Below are 19141 nucleotides of genomic sequence, written 5' to 3'. Positions count from 1 at the left end.
GATATTTGTCTTTCTGGGCCTGACTTATTTCACTTTATAAAATGTCCTGTAGGCTCATCCATGTCACAAATGACAGGATTTCCTGCTCTGAGAAGCAGCCCTGCCCATCCTCCTTCCCAGGGAGAATCTAGGGGTGGGGATAGGGAAACAGAGGAACCCTCCTTCCGCTCCTTGCATTTCATGGGTTTGGAAGTCCTGGAGTGGTGGAAACCTATGCCATGTCTCCCAGGGGGATCCAGAGGCAGGATCCCTCCTACAGAAGCCCCTGTAGCTGCAGGAGGCTTCCAGGCAAGAAGTCCCGAGTTCCCCTACACACTCCAGGGAGCAGCCGATCATCGTCCTGTGTGGCCAAAGTCAGTTCCGGTAGGTGCTGCTGGTTCCTTACCCAGTGTCCACTCAACCCCTCCCATGATTTTCTCCTGGATTCAGTGAGAAACATTCGCTTATCCAGACCCCTTTGCAGCCAGAGAACCCTTGCGAGTGCTGGCAAATGGGCTAAAAATGGAAACACATGATGGGCCTTCTGGAAAAGACGTTCCCTAATAAAAAGCGAAGGCGTTCAGTGATGTGTCTGCTCTTTGTTCTACCCTTGCCTTCCTGCCTCGAATGAGAATATCAAGAGGCCCCTGGCACACAGGGACTTGCAATATAAAATACGAAACCTCCTTGGGAAGAGTAGGACAAAAACCACATGCTGTGTGTGGCAGAGCAGAAAGAGAGGAGCCAGTCATCTCCCTGCTCAGTTAGGATTGCTTTTGGCTGCATGTAATAGATACTTGACAACAGTGGCTTAGCCAAACAGGAATTTATTTTTCTGTCATAAGGAAAATTCCAGAGGGAGACAGATCAGGCAGCTGCAGCCTCAACTGGTGGCATAAAGCCTGGGGAGAGGGACTTTTAGTGGGGCCTTTGCTCATTTACAGGCCAGCTGGGGCCATATTACCCAAAACAAAAAGACAAAAACAGTAATTGGCAAGTGAATGTGAGTTTCACAATCCACAGATTAGGTTGCAGGAAGTGACATTTTTATCTTTCTATTACAACTAAATTATGTCCCCAGACCTAACTGGGCCCCATGGGAGGAAAACTAATGTAGTTTAGCCAGTGAATTCAATCAGCTCAGGGCCAATTTGGTCAAAGTGAGTTGTTCTCTTTCTTTCTTTGTCCCCAACATGGCATCAAAATGGTCCATCTGAGGCAAAGCACAGTGGCTCATAACTGTAATCTCAGCACTTTGGGAGGCTGCGACTCGAGGATCACTCGAGTACAGGAGTTTGAGACTAGCCTGGACAATGTATTGAGACCCCATCTCTACACAAAATTTTAAAACGAGCTGGGCACAGTGGCCTGCGCCTGTGGTCCCAGGTACATAGGAGGCTGAGGCAGGAGGATCGCTTGAGTCCAGGAGGTGGAGGCTGCAGTGAGCTGTGATTGTACCACTGCAACTCCACCCTGGGCAACAGAGCAAGACTCTTTCTCCAAGAAAAAAGAAGGTCCATTGGTACCGTGGAGTACCACTCACCAGTACTACTCAAAACAGCACAAATGAATCTCAAATGTTAAACTATGTGGAAGCAGCTAGGCTCAAAAGATGATATTGTGTATTGGTCCATTTATATGACATTCTGGAAAAGACAAATCCACATGGACAGAGGACAGATCAGTGGTTGCCAGGGGCCAGAGGTTGGGGGAGAGTTGTTGACTCCAAAGGAGCACAAGAAAATTGGGAGGGGAGAGACAGGATGTTCTAGATCTTAATTGTGTTGGTTACACATTTGCCAAAACCCACAGAAGTTTCCACTAAAAACAGTAAATTTTACTGTACATCAATTATACTTCAATAAACCTGATTTTTAAAAATAGAGGGAGGATCTTGAGCCTCAGAAGGCAGAGATCATGTCTATTTTCCTCACCATTAAATTCCTGGCATCCAGCACACTATTGAATGAATGAATGAATGGATATCTAAAATGAGAGCTTTCTCATTCCAGAAAAGTTATTCAACTCTATATTCTATAACAATTTTTGGTTTTTAGAGAGACAGTCTTGCTCTATTGCCCAGGCTGGAGTGTAGTGGCATGATCATAGCTTCCTGCAGCCTGAAACCCTCGGGCTCAAGTGATCCTCCTGCCTCAGCCTCCCAAGTAGCTGGGACTACAGATGGATGCCATCATGCCTGGCTATCTTTTTTTTTTTGTAGAGATGGGTCTCACTATGTTGCCCAGCCTGGTCTTGAACTCCTAGCCTCAAGCGATCCTCCCGTCTTAGCCTCCCAAAGTGCTGGGATGACAGGCATGAGCCCCCCCGACCCAGCCTATAACATTTTAATTATACCAAGAAACTTTCCTCCCTCTTTGGCTGGTGGGAGTAGCAACAAAATGACAAGGTATAGAACAAGGGAAATACTTGATTTGTGGGGCTTCTTCCTGTTGTTGAAACGGGAAAGAGATTAATCTAACTCTCAAATGGTCTTTGTTAGTAGAGTATGATGTTCAATGGCCATTTCCACCCAATCACCTAAAATCAGGAGTGGGTATGAGAGGACCAAGGCAGAGAAAGTAAAGATAAGTAACATTTAGTAAGCACCTTCCATGTTCTTGTGCTTTACATGTACAAATTTATTTCATTTCCACAGCAAACCTTTAAGGAAGACTTGACACCGACATCTTACAGGACAGGATCAGAAAAGCAAGCGGGCTCTGGTCCTCTCGATGTCCACAACACTTACCCCTCAGGATTTTCTAAGATGGGATGTCACATACAGGAGGGCCTACACGCAGAAGGCAGCCAAGAGATGGATGAAAAAGATTTGGGTATTTTTTTAAGCACTAAATGGTTATGGTAAAGTATTCTTTGGAGGGAAGTGAGGGGGGAGGTGAGGGAAAAAAAGTTTTTTTGTGTAACATCAACAAGTATAAAGTGAAATTTAGGGTTTCTTATCATCCTTGGCTTCTTGTAGCCTCCCCAGATATAATTAATATTATCAGATATCCTTTCCAGAGATAATTCATAGATATATAGCATATATATAGATAATATCATATATAATACACTATGTTAATAAAATATCTAAAATATTTATAATAATATCAAGTGTTAATACAGTGTTACCACACTATGTTAATAAAATATCTATAATATTTATAATATCTAGTGTTAACACAATATGATATTAATAAAATATCTAAGACATTTAAAATATCTAGTTTTAACACACTGTGATATTAATAAAATATCTATGATATTTATAATATCTAGTGTTAACACACTATGATATTGAGAAAATATCTTTATATTTGTCTTAGGTAGTGATAACATACTATGATATTAAGAAAATATGTATGATATTTACATGACCTTGTGTTAACATACAGTGTAAACACACTATGATATTAAAAAAAAACTAAGATATTTATAATATACAGTGTTAACACACAGGGTTAACACATTATGATACTAAGAAAATATCTATGATATTTATAATATCTGAAGTTAACACACAGTGTTAACACACTATGATATCCATAAAATACCTATGATATTTATTAATGTAAACACACAATGATATTAATAAAATATCTATGATATTTATAATCTCTAGTGTTTACACACAGTGTTAACACACAATGATATTAATAAAATTTCCATATTTATAATATCTAGTGTTAACAAACTATGATATTAATAAAATTTCCATATTTATAATATCTAGGGTTAACACACTATGATACTAATAAAATATTCAGTTTTAACACTATACTATTAATAAAATATCCATTATATTTATAATATCTTGTGTTAACACCTGTGATACTAATAATAAATCCATAATAATCATATGTAATGTATCACATAGTGTTAACACACTATGACATTAATAAAGTATCCATGATATTTATAATATCAAGTGTTAACACACTAGGATATTAATGAAATATCCATAATATTTTAAATATCTAGTGTTAACACACTAAGATATTAACAAGATATGATATTTATATCTAGTGATAACATGCTATGATATTAAGAAAATATACATGATAATTACTATATCCAGAGTTAACACAGAGTGTTAACATACTATGACATTCATGAAATAGCCATGATATTTATAATATCTAGTGGTGACACACTATGATATGAATAAAATATCCATGATATTTAAAATATCTGATGTAAACACACTATGATATTCATAAGATATCTTTGATATTTGTAATATCTAGAGTTAAAACACAGTGTTAAACCCACTATGATATTAATAAAATATTTGATATTTATAATATCTAGTGTTAACACATTATGATACTAACAAAATATCTCTGATATTTATAATATCTAGTGTTAATCCTGTGTTTTAACACAGTTATTATGATATTCAAAATATCTAGTGTTAACACACTACGATATTAATAAAATATCAATGACATTCATAATATCTAGTGTTAACACACTGTGATATTATTGAAATATCCATGATTTTATAATACCTAATGTTAACACACTGAGATATTACTAATAATAATAAAATATAATGATATTTATAATGTCTAGTTTTAACACACTATGATATTAAGAAAATATCTGTGATAATTATATCTAGTATTAACACACAGTGTTAACACAGTATATTAATGAAATATCCATGATATTTATAATATCTAGTATTAACACACAGTGCTAAGTTATTTATAAAATATCTACAATATTTATAATATCTAGTGAAAACACTATGATATTAAAAAATCAATGATATTTATAACATCTAGTGTTAACACACGATATTAATAAAATATCTTGATATTTATGATATCCAGTGTTAAAACACTATGATATTAATAAAATATCTTTGATATTTATAATATGTAGTGTTAACACAGTGTGAACACATTATGGTATTAATAAAATATACATGATATTTATAATAACAAATGTTAATACTCAGTATTAACACACTAAGATATTAATGAAATATCCATGATATTTATAATACCTAGTTTTAACATACTATGATATTAATAAAATATTGATGATATTTTGCATGATATCCATGATATCCGTTATAGCCACATCAGAGTACATACCCACAGGGTGTACATCCACTGGAATATTAGGAATAATATCTTTCTAGATATTATGAATCATATCACGGGGTGTACATCCAGTGTGTACACCCACTGAAATACTAGGAGTGATATCTATTTAAGATGATAAAAACGACAACAAAGGCTGAATGCAAAGGGTGTACAATAACTGAGATATTAGGGATAATATCTCCCTAAGCTATTACAAATGACATGACAGAGTGTACACACAGGGTGAACACTCACTGGGATATTAGGAGTAATATCTCCCTAAGATATTACAAATAATATCACAGGATGTACACACAGGGTGTGCACCCACTGGAATATTATGAGTAATATCTCCCTAAGATATTACAAATAATATCACAGGGTATACACACAGGGTATACACCCACAGGGATATTAGGAGTAATATCTCCCTAAAATATTACAAATAATAACACAGCATGTACACACAGGGTATACACCCACTGGGATATTAAAAGTAATATCTGCCTAAAATATTACAGATATCACAGGGTGTACACCCACTGGGATATTAGAAGTAATATCCCCTTAAGATATTATGAATAATATCACAGGGTGTACCTCCACTGTGATATTAGGAGCAATATCTGTTTAACATATTAGAAATATTATCACAGTGTGTACACATACTGCGATATTAAAAGTAATATCTCCCTATGATGTTATAACTAATATCACAGGGTGAACGCATGTGGTGTACACCCACTGTGATATTAGGAGTAATATCTCCTTGGGTTGTTACGAATAATTTTCCAGGGTGTATGCACAGCGTGTATACCCACTGTGATGTTAGGAGTAATATCTTCATATTACATTATAAATAATATTTCAGGGTGTACACAAAGGGTGTATGCCCATGTTGATATTAGGAATTATGTCTTCCTATGACATTACAAATAATATCTCAGGGTGTACACACAATGTGTACATACACTGATATTAAAAATAATATCTGCCTAGGACATTACAAATAATATCCCGGGTGTACACACAGGGTGTACACTGACTGTGATGTTAGGATTAATATCTCCCTAGGAGATTACAAAGAATATCCCAGGGTGCACACACAGGTGTGCACCCACTGTGATATTATATTAGGAGTAATATCTCCCTATAATATTATGAATTATTTCACAGGCTGTACACCAACTGTGATATTAGGAGTAATATCTTCCTAGGATACTATGAATAATATTTCAGGGTGCACACTAACTGTGATATTAGGAGTAATATCTACCTAGGATATTACAAATACTATCCCAGGGTGTACACTTACTGTGAAACTAAGAGAAAAATCTCCCTGGGATATTACAGATAATATCCCAGGGTGTACAGTCACATTAACATTAAAAGCAATATCTCACTAGGATATTACAAATAATATGTCAGGGTGTACACCCACTGTGACATTAAAAGTAATATATCTCTAAAATATTATGAATATTTTCACAGGGTGTACACTTATGATGTACACTCACTGTGATATTGAGTAATATATTTCTATGATATGAATAATATCACAGACTGTACACACACTGTGATATTAGAAGGAATATCTCCCTATGATATTAAGAATAATATCACAGGGTGTAAACACATGATGTAAACCCACTGTGATATTAAGGGTAATATCTCTACACCCACTGTGATATTAGGAGTAATATCTCTCTAGGATATAACAAATAATATCACAGTTGGTGCACACACAGGGTGTACACCCTCTATGATATTAGATGTATTACATCCATAGCATATTATGAATAATATCACAGTGGGTGTACACACACACACAGCGAGATCTTACTCCTAATGTCACAGGGGGTGTACATTATGGGTGGAAACCCTGTGACATTATTCATAATATTCTAGGAAGATATTACTCTTAATGTCGCCGGGGGTATACACCATGTGTGGAAACCCTGTGACATTATTTGTAATATCTTAGGGAGATATTACACTTAATGTCACGGGGGTGATCAACGTTTGTGGACACCTCGTGACATTATTCATAATATCCTAGGGAGATATTACTTCTATGTCACAGAAGGTGTACCCTGTCTGTGGACACCTTCTGTGACATCATTCATAATATCATAGGGAGATAGTACTCTTAATGTCAAAGGGGGTGTACATCATGTGTGGAGATCATGTGACATTATTTGTAATATTTTAGGGAGATATGATTCCTAATATCACAGAAAATGTACAGCATGTGTAGACATCCTGTGACATCTTCCTAAGAGTAGTATCTTCCTAGAATATTAAGAACACAGTGGGTGTACACACAGCGTGTGCACTCACTGTGAGGTTATTCATAATATCCTATGAAGATAATACTCCTAATATCACAGAGGGTGTAGACAGTGAGTGTACAAGGTATACACAAGATGTGCACTCACTGTTATATGAGGAGTAATATCTCCTTAGAATATTACATATAATATCGGAGTGGGTATACACACAGGGCGATATCCTATTACAGTGCCTGTACACCCTTTGATATGATTCATAATATCCTAGGGAGATATTACACTTAATATCACAACACTTTGATATTAGGTGTAATATCTCCCTAGGATATTACAAATAATATCACAGGGTGTACACCCACTGTAATATTAGGAGTAATATCTCCCTAGAATATTACAAATAATATCACAGGGTGTACACTGACTGTGATATTAAAAAATATTATCACTAAAATATTATGAATATTATCACAGGGTGCACACCAACTATGATATTAGGAGTAATATCTCCTTAGAATATTAAAAATAATATCACAGGGTGTACACCCACAGTGATATTAGGAGTAATATATCCCTAGAATATTATGAATAGTATCACAGAGTGTACACCTACTGTGATATTAGGATTAATATATCCCTGGAATATTATGAATAATATCACAGATTGTACTCACAAGGTGTACACCCACTGTGATATTAGGAATAATATCTGCCAAGAATATTATAAATAACATCTGCCAAGTATATTATAAATAACATCATACAGAGTGCACCCACTGTGATATTACACGTAATATCTCCCTAGAATATTATGAATAACATCAATGGATGTACACACAAGGTGTACACCCACTGTGATATTAAGAGTAATACCTCCATAGGATATTACTAATTATATAACATTGTATATACCCACTGTGATATTAAGAGTAATAGCTCTCTAGGTTATTATGAATAATATCACAGTAGGTGTACACAATGTTGTACCCTACTGTGATATTAGAAGTAATATCTTTCTAGGATATTATGAATATCACAAGGTGCACACTCACTGTGATATTAGGAGTAATATCTCCCTAGAATATTACAAATAATATCACAGGGTGTACAAACATGGTGTACCCCTACTGTGATACTAGGAGTAATATTTCCCTAGGATATTACAAATAATATCACAGGGTGTACTTACATTGTGTACCTTCCCTGTGATACTAGGATTAATATCTCCCTGGGATATTATAAATAATTTCACTGAATGTACACAGATTCTGTATTCTCACTGTGATACTAGGAGTAGTATCTCTCTAGGATATTATGAATAATATCACAGGGTGAACACACATGGTGTACCCCTACTGTGATATTCACAATATCTCCCTAGGATATTGTGAATAATATCACAGGGTGTACACACATGGTGTACCCCCCACTGTCATACTAAGAGTGATATCTTCCAAGGATACTAGAAATAATGTCAAAAAGTGTACATATATGGTGTACACCCACTGTGATAGTAGGAGTAATACCTCCCTAGGATATTATAAATAATATCACAAGGTATATGCACATGGTGTACATTCACAGTGTTAATAGGAGTAATATTTTTCCAGGATATTACAAATAATATCATAGGGTCTACACACATGGTGTATACCCACTGTGATAGTAGGAGTAATATCTTCCTAGGATATTACAGATAATATCACAGGGTATACATGCATGGTGTACACCCATTGTGATACTAGGAGAAATATCTCCCTATGATATAATGAATAGTATAACAGGGTGTAGTCATATGATGTAAACCCACTGTGATATTAGGAGTAATATCTCCGTAGGATATGAGGGTATTGGGAGTAATATCTTCTCTTCCCCTGGATATTATGAACAGGGGAGTGTACAACCCTTGCAATGTAACAGGGGTTTGTACATTCCCTGCAATACTGGGTGTAATAGCATCTTATCTCCTTCTGGATATTATGAACAATATAACATTGGGGTGTACACCCACTGCAATATTGGGAGTAATATCATCCCCTCTTTCCCTAAATATTATGAAAAGTATCAGAGAGGGTGTACACTTCTTGCAATATTGCGAGTAATATCATCCCCGCCCCCCGGATAATACGAACAATATGATAGAGGAATGTACACCCTCTGCAGTATTGGGACTAATATTATTCCCTTTCTCCCTGCATATTACGTACAATATCACTGCGGGGTGCACACACCCTGTGATATTGGATGTAATATCATCCCCTCTCCTTCTAATATTACAAACCTTATTATAGGGAGTGTATTCCCACTGTGATATTGAGGGTAATATCATCTCCTCCCCTCCTGGATATTATGAAAAATGTAACAGAGGGTGTACACCTTCTGCGATATTGGAGGTAATATCATCCCTTTGTCTAATAAGAAGAAGTAATATCATCTTCTTCCCCCACTGAATATTATTAACAACATCACAGGGGGTTTACACACCCTGTGATATTGGGAGTAATATCATCCTCTCGCCCCCTAGATATTACCAACAATATCACAAGCAGACGTACACCTCCTATGAACAATATCACAGGAAGGAGTACACCCCCTACGATATTGAGAGTGATATCATCCCCTTTTTTTTCTAGATATTTTGAAGAATATCACAGGGGAGTATACACCCCCTGCGATATTGGAAGTAATATCATTCCCTACCCTTCCGGATATTACAAACAATATCACAGGGGGTGTACACCCCTTGTGATATTGGGAGTAATATCATCCCCTACCACCCTGGATATTACAAACAATATCACAGAGGGTATACACCTTCTGTGATATTGGGAGTAATATCATCATCTTCCTTCCCTGGATATTACAAACAACATCACAGGGGGGTTTACAACCCCTGAGATATTGGGAGTAATATCGTCCTCTTCCCGCCTAGATATTATGAAAAATATCACAGAAGGGTGTACACACCCTGCGATATTGGGAGTTGTACAACCCCAAAGATATGGGGAGTGTTATAACCCTCTCCTCCCCTGAGTGTTATGAACCATATCACAGAGGGGTGTACACGCCCCTGCGATATGGGGAGTGATATCATCCTCTCCCCCTCTGGATGTTACGAACCATATCACAGGCGAGTGTACACTCCCCAGCGATATGGGGTGTATTATCATCCACTCCCCACCGGATCTTACAAACCATTTCACAGCAGAGTGTACACACCCCGTGATATCAGGAGTAGTATCACCCTCTCCCCTCCTAAATATTACAAACCCTATCCCAGGGGGGTGTACACTCAAGGTGTTTACGATATTGGAAGTAATATATTCTCCCCTCTGGATATTAGAAACAACATCACCCGGGAGGGTGGGTGTACAGCCACTGCGATATTGGGCATAACTTCATCCTCCCTCTTCCTCTGGATATAGGAATTATACTACAGGCGGGGTGTACACCCCCTGCGATGTTGAAACTCATGTCATCCTCTCTTCCCCTGCATATTAGGAACAATATCACAAGGGGGTGTGGACATTTTCTGTGATATTGAAAGTAATATCATCTGCTTAGCTTCTGGATATTAGGAACAATATTACAGAAATGGTGAACACCCCCTTCGATATTGGGAATAATATTATCTTCTGCTCCCTAAATATTAAGAACAATACCACAAGCGGGCTGTACACCCTTTGCTATATTTGGACTAACATCAAACTCTCCTTTTCTGGATATTAGGAAGAATATCACTGGGCGGGGTGTACTCTCCCAGTGATATTGATAGTAATAGAGTTCTATCCCCCACTGGACATTAAAAGCAATATCACAGGCGGGTTGTACAGCCCCTGGGATATTGGGAGTAATATAATCGTTTTTCCACCTGGGTATTAGAAACAATATCACCAGGGGGGTGTACAGTTCCTGCAATATTGGGAGTAATATCATCCTGTCCCCCCTGGATATCAGGAACTATATTACACTTGGGGTGCACACCTTCTGCGATTTTGGGAGTGATATTCTCTTCTTATCTAGATGTTAGGAACAATATCGCAGAGGCAGTGTAAACTCCCTGAGATATTGGGAGTAATATCATCCTATTTTCCCCTGGATATTAGGAACAATGTCACAAGAGGGTTGTACACTCTTTGCGATATTGTAAGTAATGCCATCCTCTCCACTACTGAATATTAGGAACAATATTAAAGTGGGGATGAACACTCCCTGCGACATTGAGAGTATATCATCCTCTCTCTGCAGCGGATATTAGGAACAAATTTACAGGAAAGATGTCCACCCTTTGCGATATTGGGAGTAATATTATTTTCCCCTTAGGTATTAGGAACAATATTACATGGTGGGTGACCAGCCCCTGCAATATTTGGAGTAATATTAACATATCCCCACCTGGATATTAGGAATAATACAACAGGGGGGTGTACACATCCTTCGATAATGGGAATAATATGATTCTCTTTCCCCTGGATATTGGGAACAATATCACCGAGAACGTATACACTTCCTGCAATATTGGGAGTCACATTATCTTCTCCCCCCACCGGGCATTAGAAACAATATCACGGGGCGGGGGGGCACTGTGTACACTTTCTGCAATATTGGGAGTAATATCATCTTCTTTTCCCTGGATATAGAGAACAATATCACAGGGAGGGAGTACATCTGCCCTTCAATATTGGTAGTAATATTATCCTCTCCCTCCCTGGATACTGGAAACAATATCACAGAAGGGGTTTATACACCCTGCAATATTGGGAGTAATGGCATTCTCTTTCCTTCTGGATATTAGGAAGAATATCACAGGGTGCTGTACATCCCCTGCGATATTGGGAGTAAAATCATCCTCTCCCGCCCTGTACATTAGGAAAAATATCACCAAAGTGGTGTACATTCTTTGCGATATTGGGAGTAATATCATCCTCTCTTCCCTTGGATATTAAAAACGATATCACAGGCGAAGTGTACACCCTCTGCGATAATGGAAGTTGTATCTTCCTCTCCCCCCCGGATATTAGAAACAATATCTTATTGCAGGTGTACACTCTTTAGGATATTGACAGCAATATCATCGTCATCCCCATGGATATTAGAAACAATATCACAAGCAAAGTGTACAACTTCTACAATATCGGGAGTAGTATCATCCTCTCTCCCACGGGAATTAGAAGCAATATCATGTGTGAGGGATGTACACCTTCTGCGATATTGGGAGTAATAACATCCTCTTTCCCCATAGATATTAGGGACCATATCACAGGGAGAGTGTACACCCCCTGCGATTTAGGGAGTAATATTATCCTCTCACCTTCTGATATTAGGAAATCTATCACAGCAGGGGGTGCAAAATTTTGGGGATATTAATCATAATACCTTCGTCTGTCCACCTGGATAATAGGAACAATATCACAAGGGGGGTGTACAACCTCCACGATATTGAGAGTAATAGCATCCTCTCCCCCCCGGTTATTAGTAAATATATCACAGGGGGGAATGTACACAACCTGCGATATTGGGAGTAATATCATTTTCTCCCCTTCTGGATATTACAAACAATATCACAAGAGGGTTGTACAATCTCTATGATATTGGGAGTAAGAACATTCTCTCCCTCTCTGGATATTAGGAACAATATCAGGGGTGCTGTACACCACCTGCGATATTGGGAGTAATATCATCCTCTTTCCCCCTGGATATTAGAAACAATATCACAGGGATGGTGTAACCATCTGAGTAATTAGGAATAATGTTATCTTCTCCCCACCCTAGATATTAGGAACAATATGACAGGAGAGGTGTACAGCCCCTGTGATATTTGGAATAATTTTATTATCTCCTCCCTGGATATTAGGAACAATATCACAGGGGTGGTGCACACACCCTTTGATATTGGGAGTAATATCATTCTCTTTTCCCTTGATATTAAAAAGAATATCACGGGAGGGTGTACACCCTCTGTAATATTGGGTGTAATATCATCCTTTCTTCCTCTGGATATTAAAAACAATACCATAGAGGGGGTGTACACCCCATGCGGTATTGGGAGTAATATCATCCTCTTTCTCATGGATATTAGGAACCATATCACAGAAGGGGTGTACACCTTTTGCGATATTGGAAGTAATGTCATCCTCCCCCCTGCTTGATTTTAGAAACAATATCACAGGGCTGGTGTACATCCCCTGAGATATTGAGAGTTATATCATCCTCTCTTCCCCTGGAAATTATGAACAATATCACGGGGGGGGTTTACACTTTCTGCAATATTTGTAATAATATCATCTTCTGCCTGCCCTGGATATTAGGAACAATATCACAAGGGAGGTGTACACTCCCTGTGATACTGGAAGTCATATCACCCTCTCTCCCCCTGGATACTGACAGCAATATCACAGAAACTGTGTATACCATCTGCAATATTGAAAGTAATATTATTCTTTTCTAAACTTTAGGAAGTATATCAAAGGGTGAGTGTACACTTCCTGTGATACTGAAATAATATCAGCCTCTAGCCCTTTGGATATAAAAGCAATTTCACAGCAAGGGTGTACACCCCCTGAAATACTGGAATTACTATCATCCTCTCTCCCTCACGATATTAGAAATAATATCACAGTGGGTGTGTAAACCCCCTGCAATATCCTTCTGTGGATATTAGAAACAATATAACAGAAACAATATAACAATGTCACAGCCCCTGTGATATTGGGAGTAATATCATGCTCTCCACTTCTGGATATTAGAAACAATATCACATGGGGGTGTACACCCACTGCGATATTGGGAGTATTATCATCTTCTTCACCCCTGGATATTAGGAAGAATATCACAGAAATGGTGCATACCCCTGTGATTTTGGAAGTAATATCCTTCCCCTTCGCATATTAGGAACAATATCACAGAAGGGATGTAGACCCCTCTCGATATTGGGAGTAATATTAGTCCTTTTCTCCCCTGGATATTAGAAACAATATCATGGGGGGGTGAAAACCACCCTTGATATTGGGAGAAATATCATTCTTTTCCTCCCCTGGATATTAAAAGCAATATCGCAGGAGGGGTGTACATTCACTGCACTATAGGAAGTCATATCATCCTCTCCTTCCCTAGATATTAGGAACAGTATCACAGTGGTGGCACACACCCGTGCAATATTAGGAGTAATATCATCCTTTTTCCCCCTGGATATTAGGAACAATATCACAAGTGGGTGGTTACACACCCCGCAATACTATGAGTAATATCACGATCTTCACAATGGATATTACAAACCATATCACAGAAAAATGTACACCCCCCGGGATATGGGGAGTAATATCACCATCTCCCCCTCTGGATATTACGAACCATAACACACTTCTTGCAATATGGGGAGTAATATTACCCTCTCCCCCTGTGGATATTATGAACCATATCAAACCCTCAACGATATGGGGAGTAATATCATCCTCTCACCCCCAGGATATTGCAAATGATATCACAGGGGTGTGTACACTCCCTGGGATATGGGGAGTAATATCACCCTCTCCACCCCTAGATATTGTGAACCATATCACAGGGGGCTGTATGCCTCCTGCGATAAAAGGCGTGATATCACACTCTCCCCTACTGGATATTACAAACCATATCACAGGGGGGTGCACACCCCCCACAATATGGGGAGTTAGATATCACCGTCTCCCCCGCTGAATATTGTGAACCACATCGCGGCGTGATGTACTCCCCCCGTGATATGGAGAGTAATATTACCTTCTCTTCCATGGATATTGCGAACCATATCACAGGGGGCTGAACACACCACACGATATAAAAAGTAATATCACCCTCTCCCACCATGGATATTGTGAAACATATCAGGGGGGCTGTACACCCCCTGTGATAAGTGGTGTAATATCATCCTCTCCGACACTGGATATTAGGAACAATATCATAAGTGGGCAGTTACACCCACCCCCCCCTCGCGATACTGGGAGTAATATTATCCCCTCCACCCCTGAATATTATGAACCATATCACTGTGGGTGTACACCCCCCACGATATGGGGAGTAATATCACCCTCACCCCCACCCCCGCCACGGATATTATGAACCATATCATCGGGGATGTACAACTCCAGCGATATGGGGAGTAATATCACCCTCTCCCCCCTGGATATTATGAACCATGTAACAGGGGAGTCTACACCACCAGTGATATGGAGAGCAGTCACACTCTCTCCCCCACCGGATGTTATGAACCATATCACCTGAAAGTGTAGACTTCCCGCGTTATGGGGAGTAATATCACCCTCTACCCCCCTGAATATTATGAACCATATCACAGGGAAGTGTACAACCCCTGTGATGTTGGCAGTAATATAATTCTCTTTCCCCCTGGATGTTAGGAACAGTATCACGTGGGAGGGGAGTGTACATGCATGGCAATATTGAGCGTAATATCAATCTCTTTCCTCTAAATATTGGGAATAATATGACAGGAGGGGTGCACACCCCATGGGACATTGAGAGTAATACCATCCCCTCTCTCCCTGGATATTAGGAACAATATCACAGGAAGAGTGTACACCCCCTGCGTTATTGGGATTAATATTATTTTCTCCCCCAATGGATATTAGGAATAATATCATGGGGGGTGTAAACCCTTTGTGATATTGAGAGTAATATCATCCTCTCCCCACTGGATATTAAGAACAATATCACAAGGTGGGGTGTACACCTTCTGCGATATTGGGAGTAATATCTTCCTCTCCCCCATGAAATATGAGAAGTAATACCACATGGTGGGTGTACACCCCTTGCGATATTGGGAGTAATAACATCCTCTCCCACCCAGGGTGTTAGGAACAATATCACAGGAGTGGTGTACAGCCCCTGTGATGCTAAGAGTAATATCCTCTTCTCTCCTGGAGATTACAAACAATATCAATGTGGGGGTGTATAACCCCTGGGAAATTGAGTGTAATATCATCCTCTCCTCACCTGGATATTAGGAACCATATCACAGAATGGTATGGTGTACGCCCCATGTGAATTTGGTAGTAATACCACTTTCTTTCCCACAGGATATGAGAAACAATATCAAAAGGGTTGTGTTCACCCCCTGATATACTGGGAATGATATTATACTTCCCCCCCGAATATTAGGAACATTATTATGTGGGGAGTGTCTACCCCCTGCAATATTGGGAGTATTTTTATCTCTTCACTTGGATATTTGGAACAATATCACAGGAGGGGTGTATACGCCCTGTGATATTTTAAGTAATGTCATCCTCTCCCCCCGGCTATTAGATACAATATCACAGGGGTTGTACACCCCCTGCGATCTTGGGAGTAAATTTATTCTCTCTCCACCTAAATATAAGGAACAATTTCACATGGGGAGTGTACACCTTCTGCAATATTGACAGTAATATCATCTTCTTTTCCCCTGGATATTAAGAACAATATCACAAGTAAGGTGTACACCCACTGCGATGCTGAAAGTAATATTATCCTCTTCCCTCAAAGATATTAGGAACAATATCACAGAAGAGGTGTACACCAACTGCGATATTGGCAGTGATATCATCATCTCCTCTCGTGGATATTAAGAACAATATCACAAAGGGGTGCACAACTCCTGTGATATTGAGAGTAATACTATCCTCTCACCCCCTGGATATTTGGAACAATATCACAAAGGATATCCCCCGCAATATTGGGAGTAACATCATCCACTCCCCCCCTAGATATTAGAAACAATATCACAGAAGGGGTGTACACCACCTGCGATAATGAGAGTCATGCCATCCTCTCCTTCATGGATATTAGGAACAATCTCACTGGGGAATGTGCATCCCCTGGGATATCTTGAGTAATATCATTCTCTCTTTCCCTAGATATTTGGAACAATATTACAAGGGAGGTGTACAAATCCTGTGATATTAGGAGTAATATAATTTCCCCCCTGAATATTAGGAACAATATCAAAGAAATAGTATACACCCTCTGCGATACTGGGTGTAATATCACAAACTGTGTTACCTCTCCAGAATATTACGAATAATATCCCAGGTTGTACACACATGTTGTACACTCACTGTGATATTAGGAGAGTAATATCTCCACATGATATTACAAATAATATCCCAGAGTGTACACACATGGCGTAAACCTACTGTGATATTAGGAGAGTAATATCTCCCAAGGATATTACAAATAATATTCCAGGGTGTACAAAAATGGTGAACACCTATTGTGATATTAGGAGAGTAATATCTCCCCAGGATATTACAAATAATAAACCCAGGATGTACAAACAAGATGGAAATGCACTGTGACATTAGGAGAGTAATATCTCCCCAAAATGTTATGAATAATATCCAAAAGTATACACACATGGTGTAAACCCAATGTGACATTAGGAGAGAAATATCTCCCAAGGATATTACGAATAATATTCCAGGGTATACAAACATGGTGAACACCTACTGCGATATTAGGACAGTAATATCTCTCAGGATGTTATGGATAATATCCCAGAATGTACAAATATGGTGTAAACAAACTGTAACATTAAGAGAGTAATATCTCCCCAAAATACTACGAATAATATCCCAGGGTGTACACACATGATGTACACCCTCTGTGACATCAGGAGGGTATCATCTCTCAAGGATATTAAGAATAATGTTCCAGGTGGTACACAAATATTGTATACCCACTGTGGTATTAGGAAAGTAATAACTCCCAAGGATATTATAAATAACATCCAGGGTGTACACACATGGTGTACACCCAGTGTAATATTAGGAGAATAACATCTCCCCCGGATATTACGAGCGATATCCCAGAGTGTACGCACATGGTGTACACTTACTGTGATATTAGGAGACTAATATCTTCCCTGGATAATACAAATAATATCCCAGGGTGTACCCACCTGGTGTACACCCACTGTGATATTAGGAATAATATCTCCCCAGGATATTATGCATAATATCCCAGGGTGTACATACATGGTGTATATCCACTGTGACATAATGAATAATATCTTTCCAGGATATTACGAACCATATCCCAGGGTGTACACCCACTGTGATATTAGAAGTAATATCTCCCCTGGATATTATGAATAATATATTTGGGTGTACACTGACTGTAATATTAGGAATAATATCTTCTCAGTATATTAGGAATAATATCCCAGAGTGTACACACATGGTGTAAACCCACTGTGATATTAGGAGGTAATATCTCGCAAGGATATTACAAATAGTATTCCAGGGAGTACAAATATGGTGAACACTTACTGTGATATTAGCAGAGGAATATCTCCCGGGGATGTTACGAATAATATCCAAAGACGTACAAACAAGGTGTAAATGCACAGTGACATTAGGAGAGTAATATCTCCAAAACTATAACAAATAATATCCCAGAGAGTGTATACACATAATGGTTACATTACATGTAACCAGAGGGTTACATTAAGATTAACAACCCCCTAAGATATTACAAATAATATAACCGGGATTGTACACATGGTGTACAAGCACTGTGACATTAGTAGCAGCATCCCCTTAGGATAATAGAAATGATATCACCCCCTGTGGTGTACACACATGGCGTACAACCACTGTTTTATAGGAGTAACATCCACCAAAATATTAGAGATAATATCCCCCTAGCTTACTACGAATAATATCACAGGGGTTGTACACACATGCTATAGAACCCGTGAGATATTAAAGTTAAAATCACCAAAGGTTATTAGGAATAACATAACGCAGC

The 19141-nt window shown here is 38.6% G+C and overlaps 1 protein-coding gene and 1 non-coding gene across 3 annotated transcripts in view; one reads left to right on the top strand and one right to left on the bottom strand.

Annotated features, from left to right (window-relative positions):
- The window catches only part of SLC25A48 (solute carrier family 25 member 48), a 309466-nt gene that overhangs the window by 77304 nt on the left and 213021 nt on the right, over positions 1-19141 (bottom strand). The window lies entirely within an intron of this gene.
- On the top strand, positions 8259-8349 carry MIR5692C1 (microRNA 5692c-1). The gene has a single exon (NR_049867.1). It is a non-coding gene; the product is annotated as a microRNA 5692c-1 (primary transcript).

This window comes from Homo sapiens, chromosome 5 (genome assembly GCF_000001405.40).
Source record: "Homo sapiens chromosome 5, GRCh38.p14 Primary Assembly".
Taxonomy (NCBI): Eukaryota; Metazoa; Chordata; class Mammalia; order Primates; family Hominidae; genus Homo; species Homo sapiens.
This window is presented reverse-complemented; position numbering and strand designations above follow the sequence as displayed.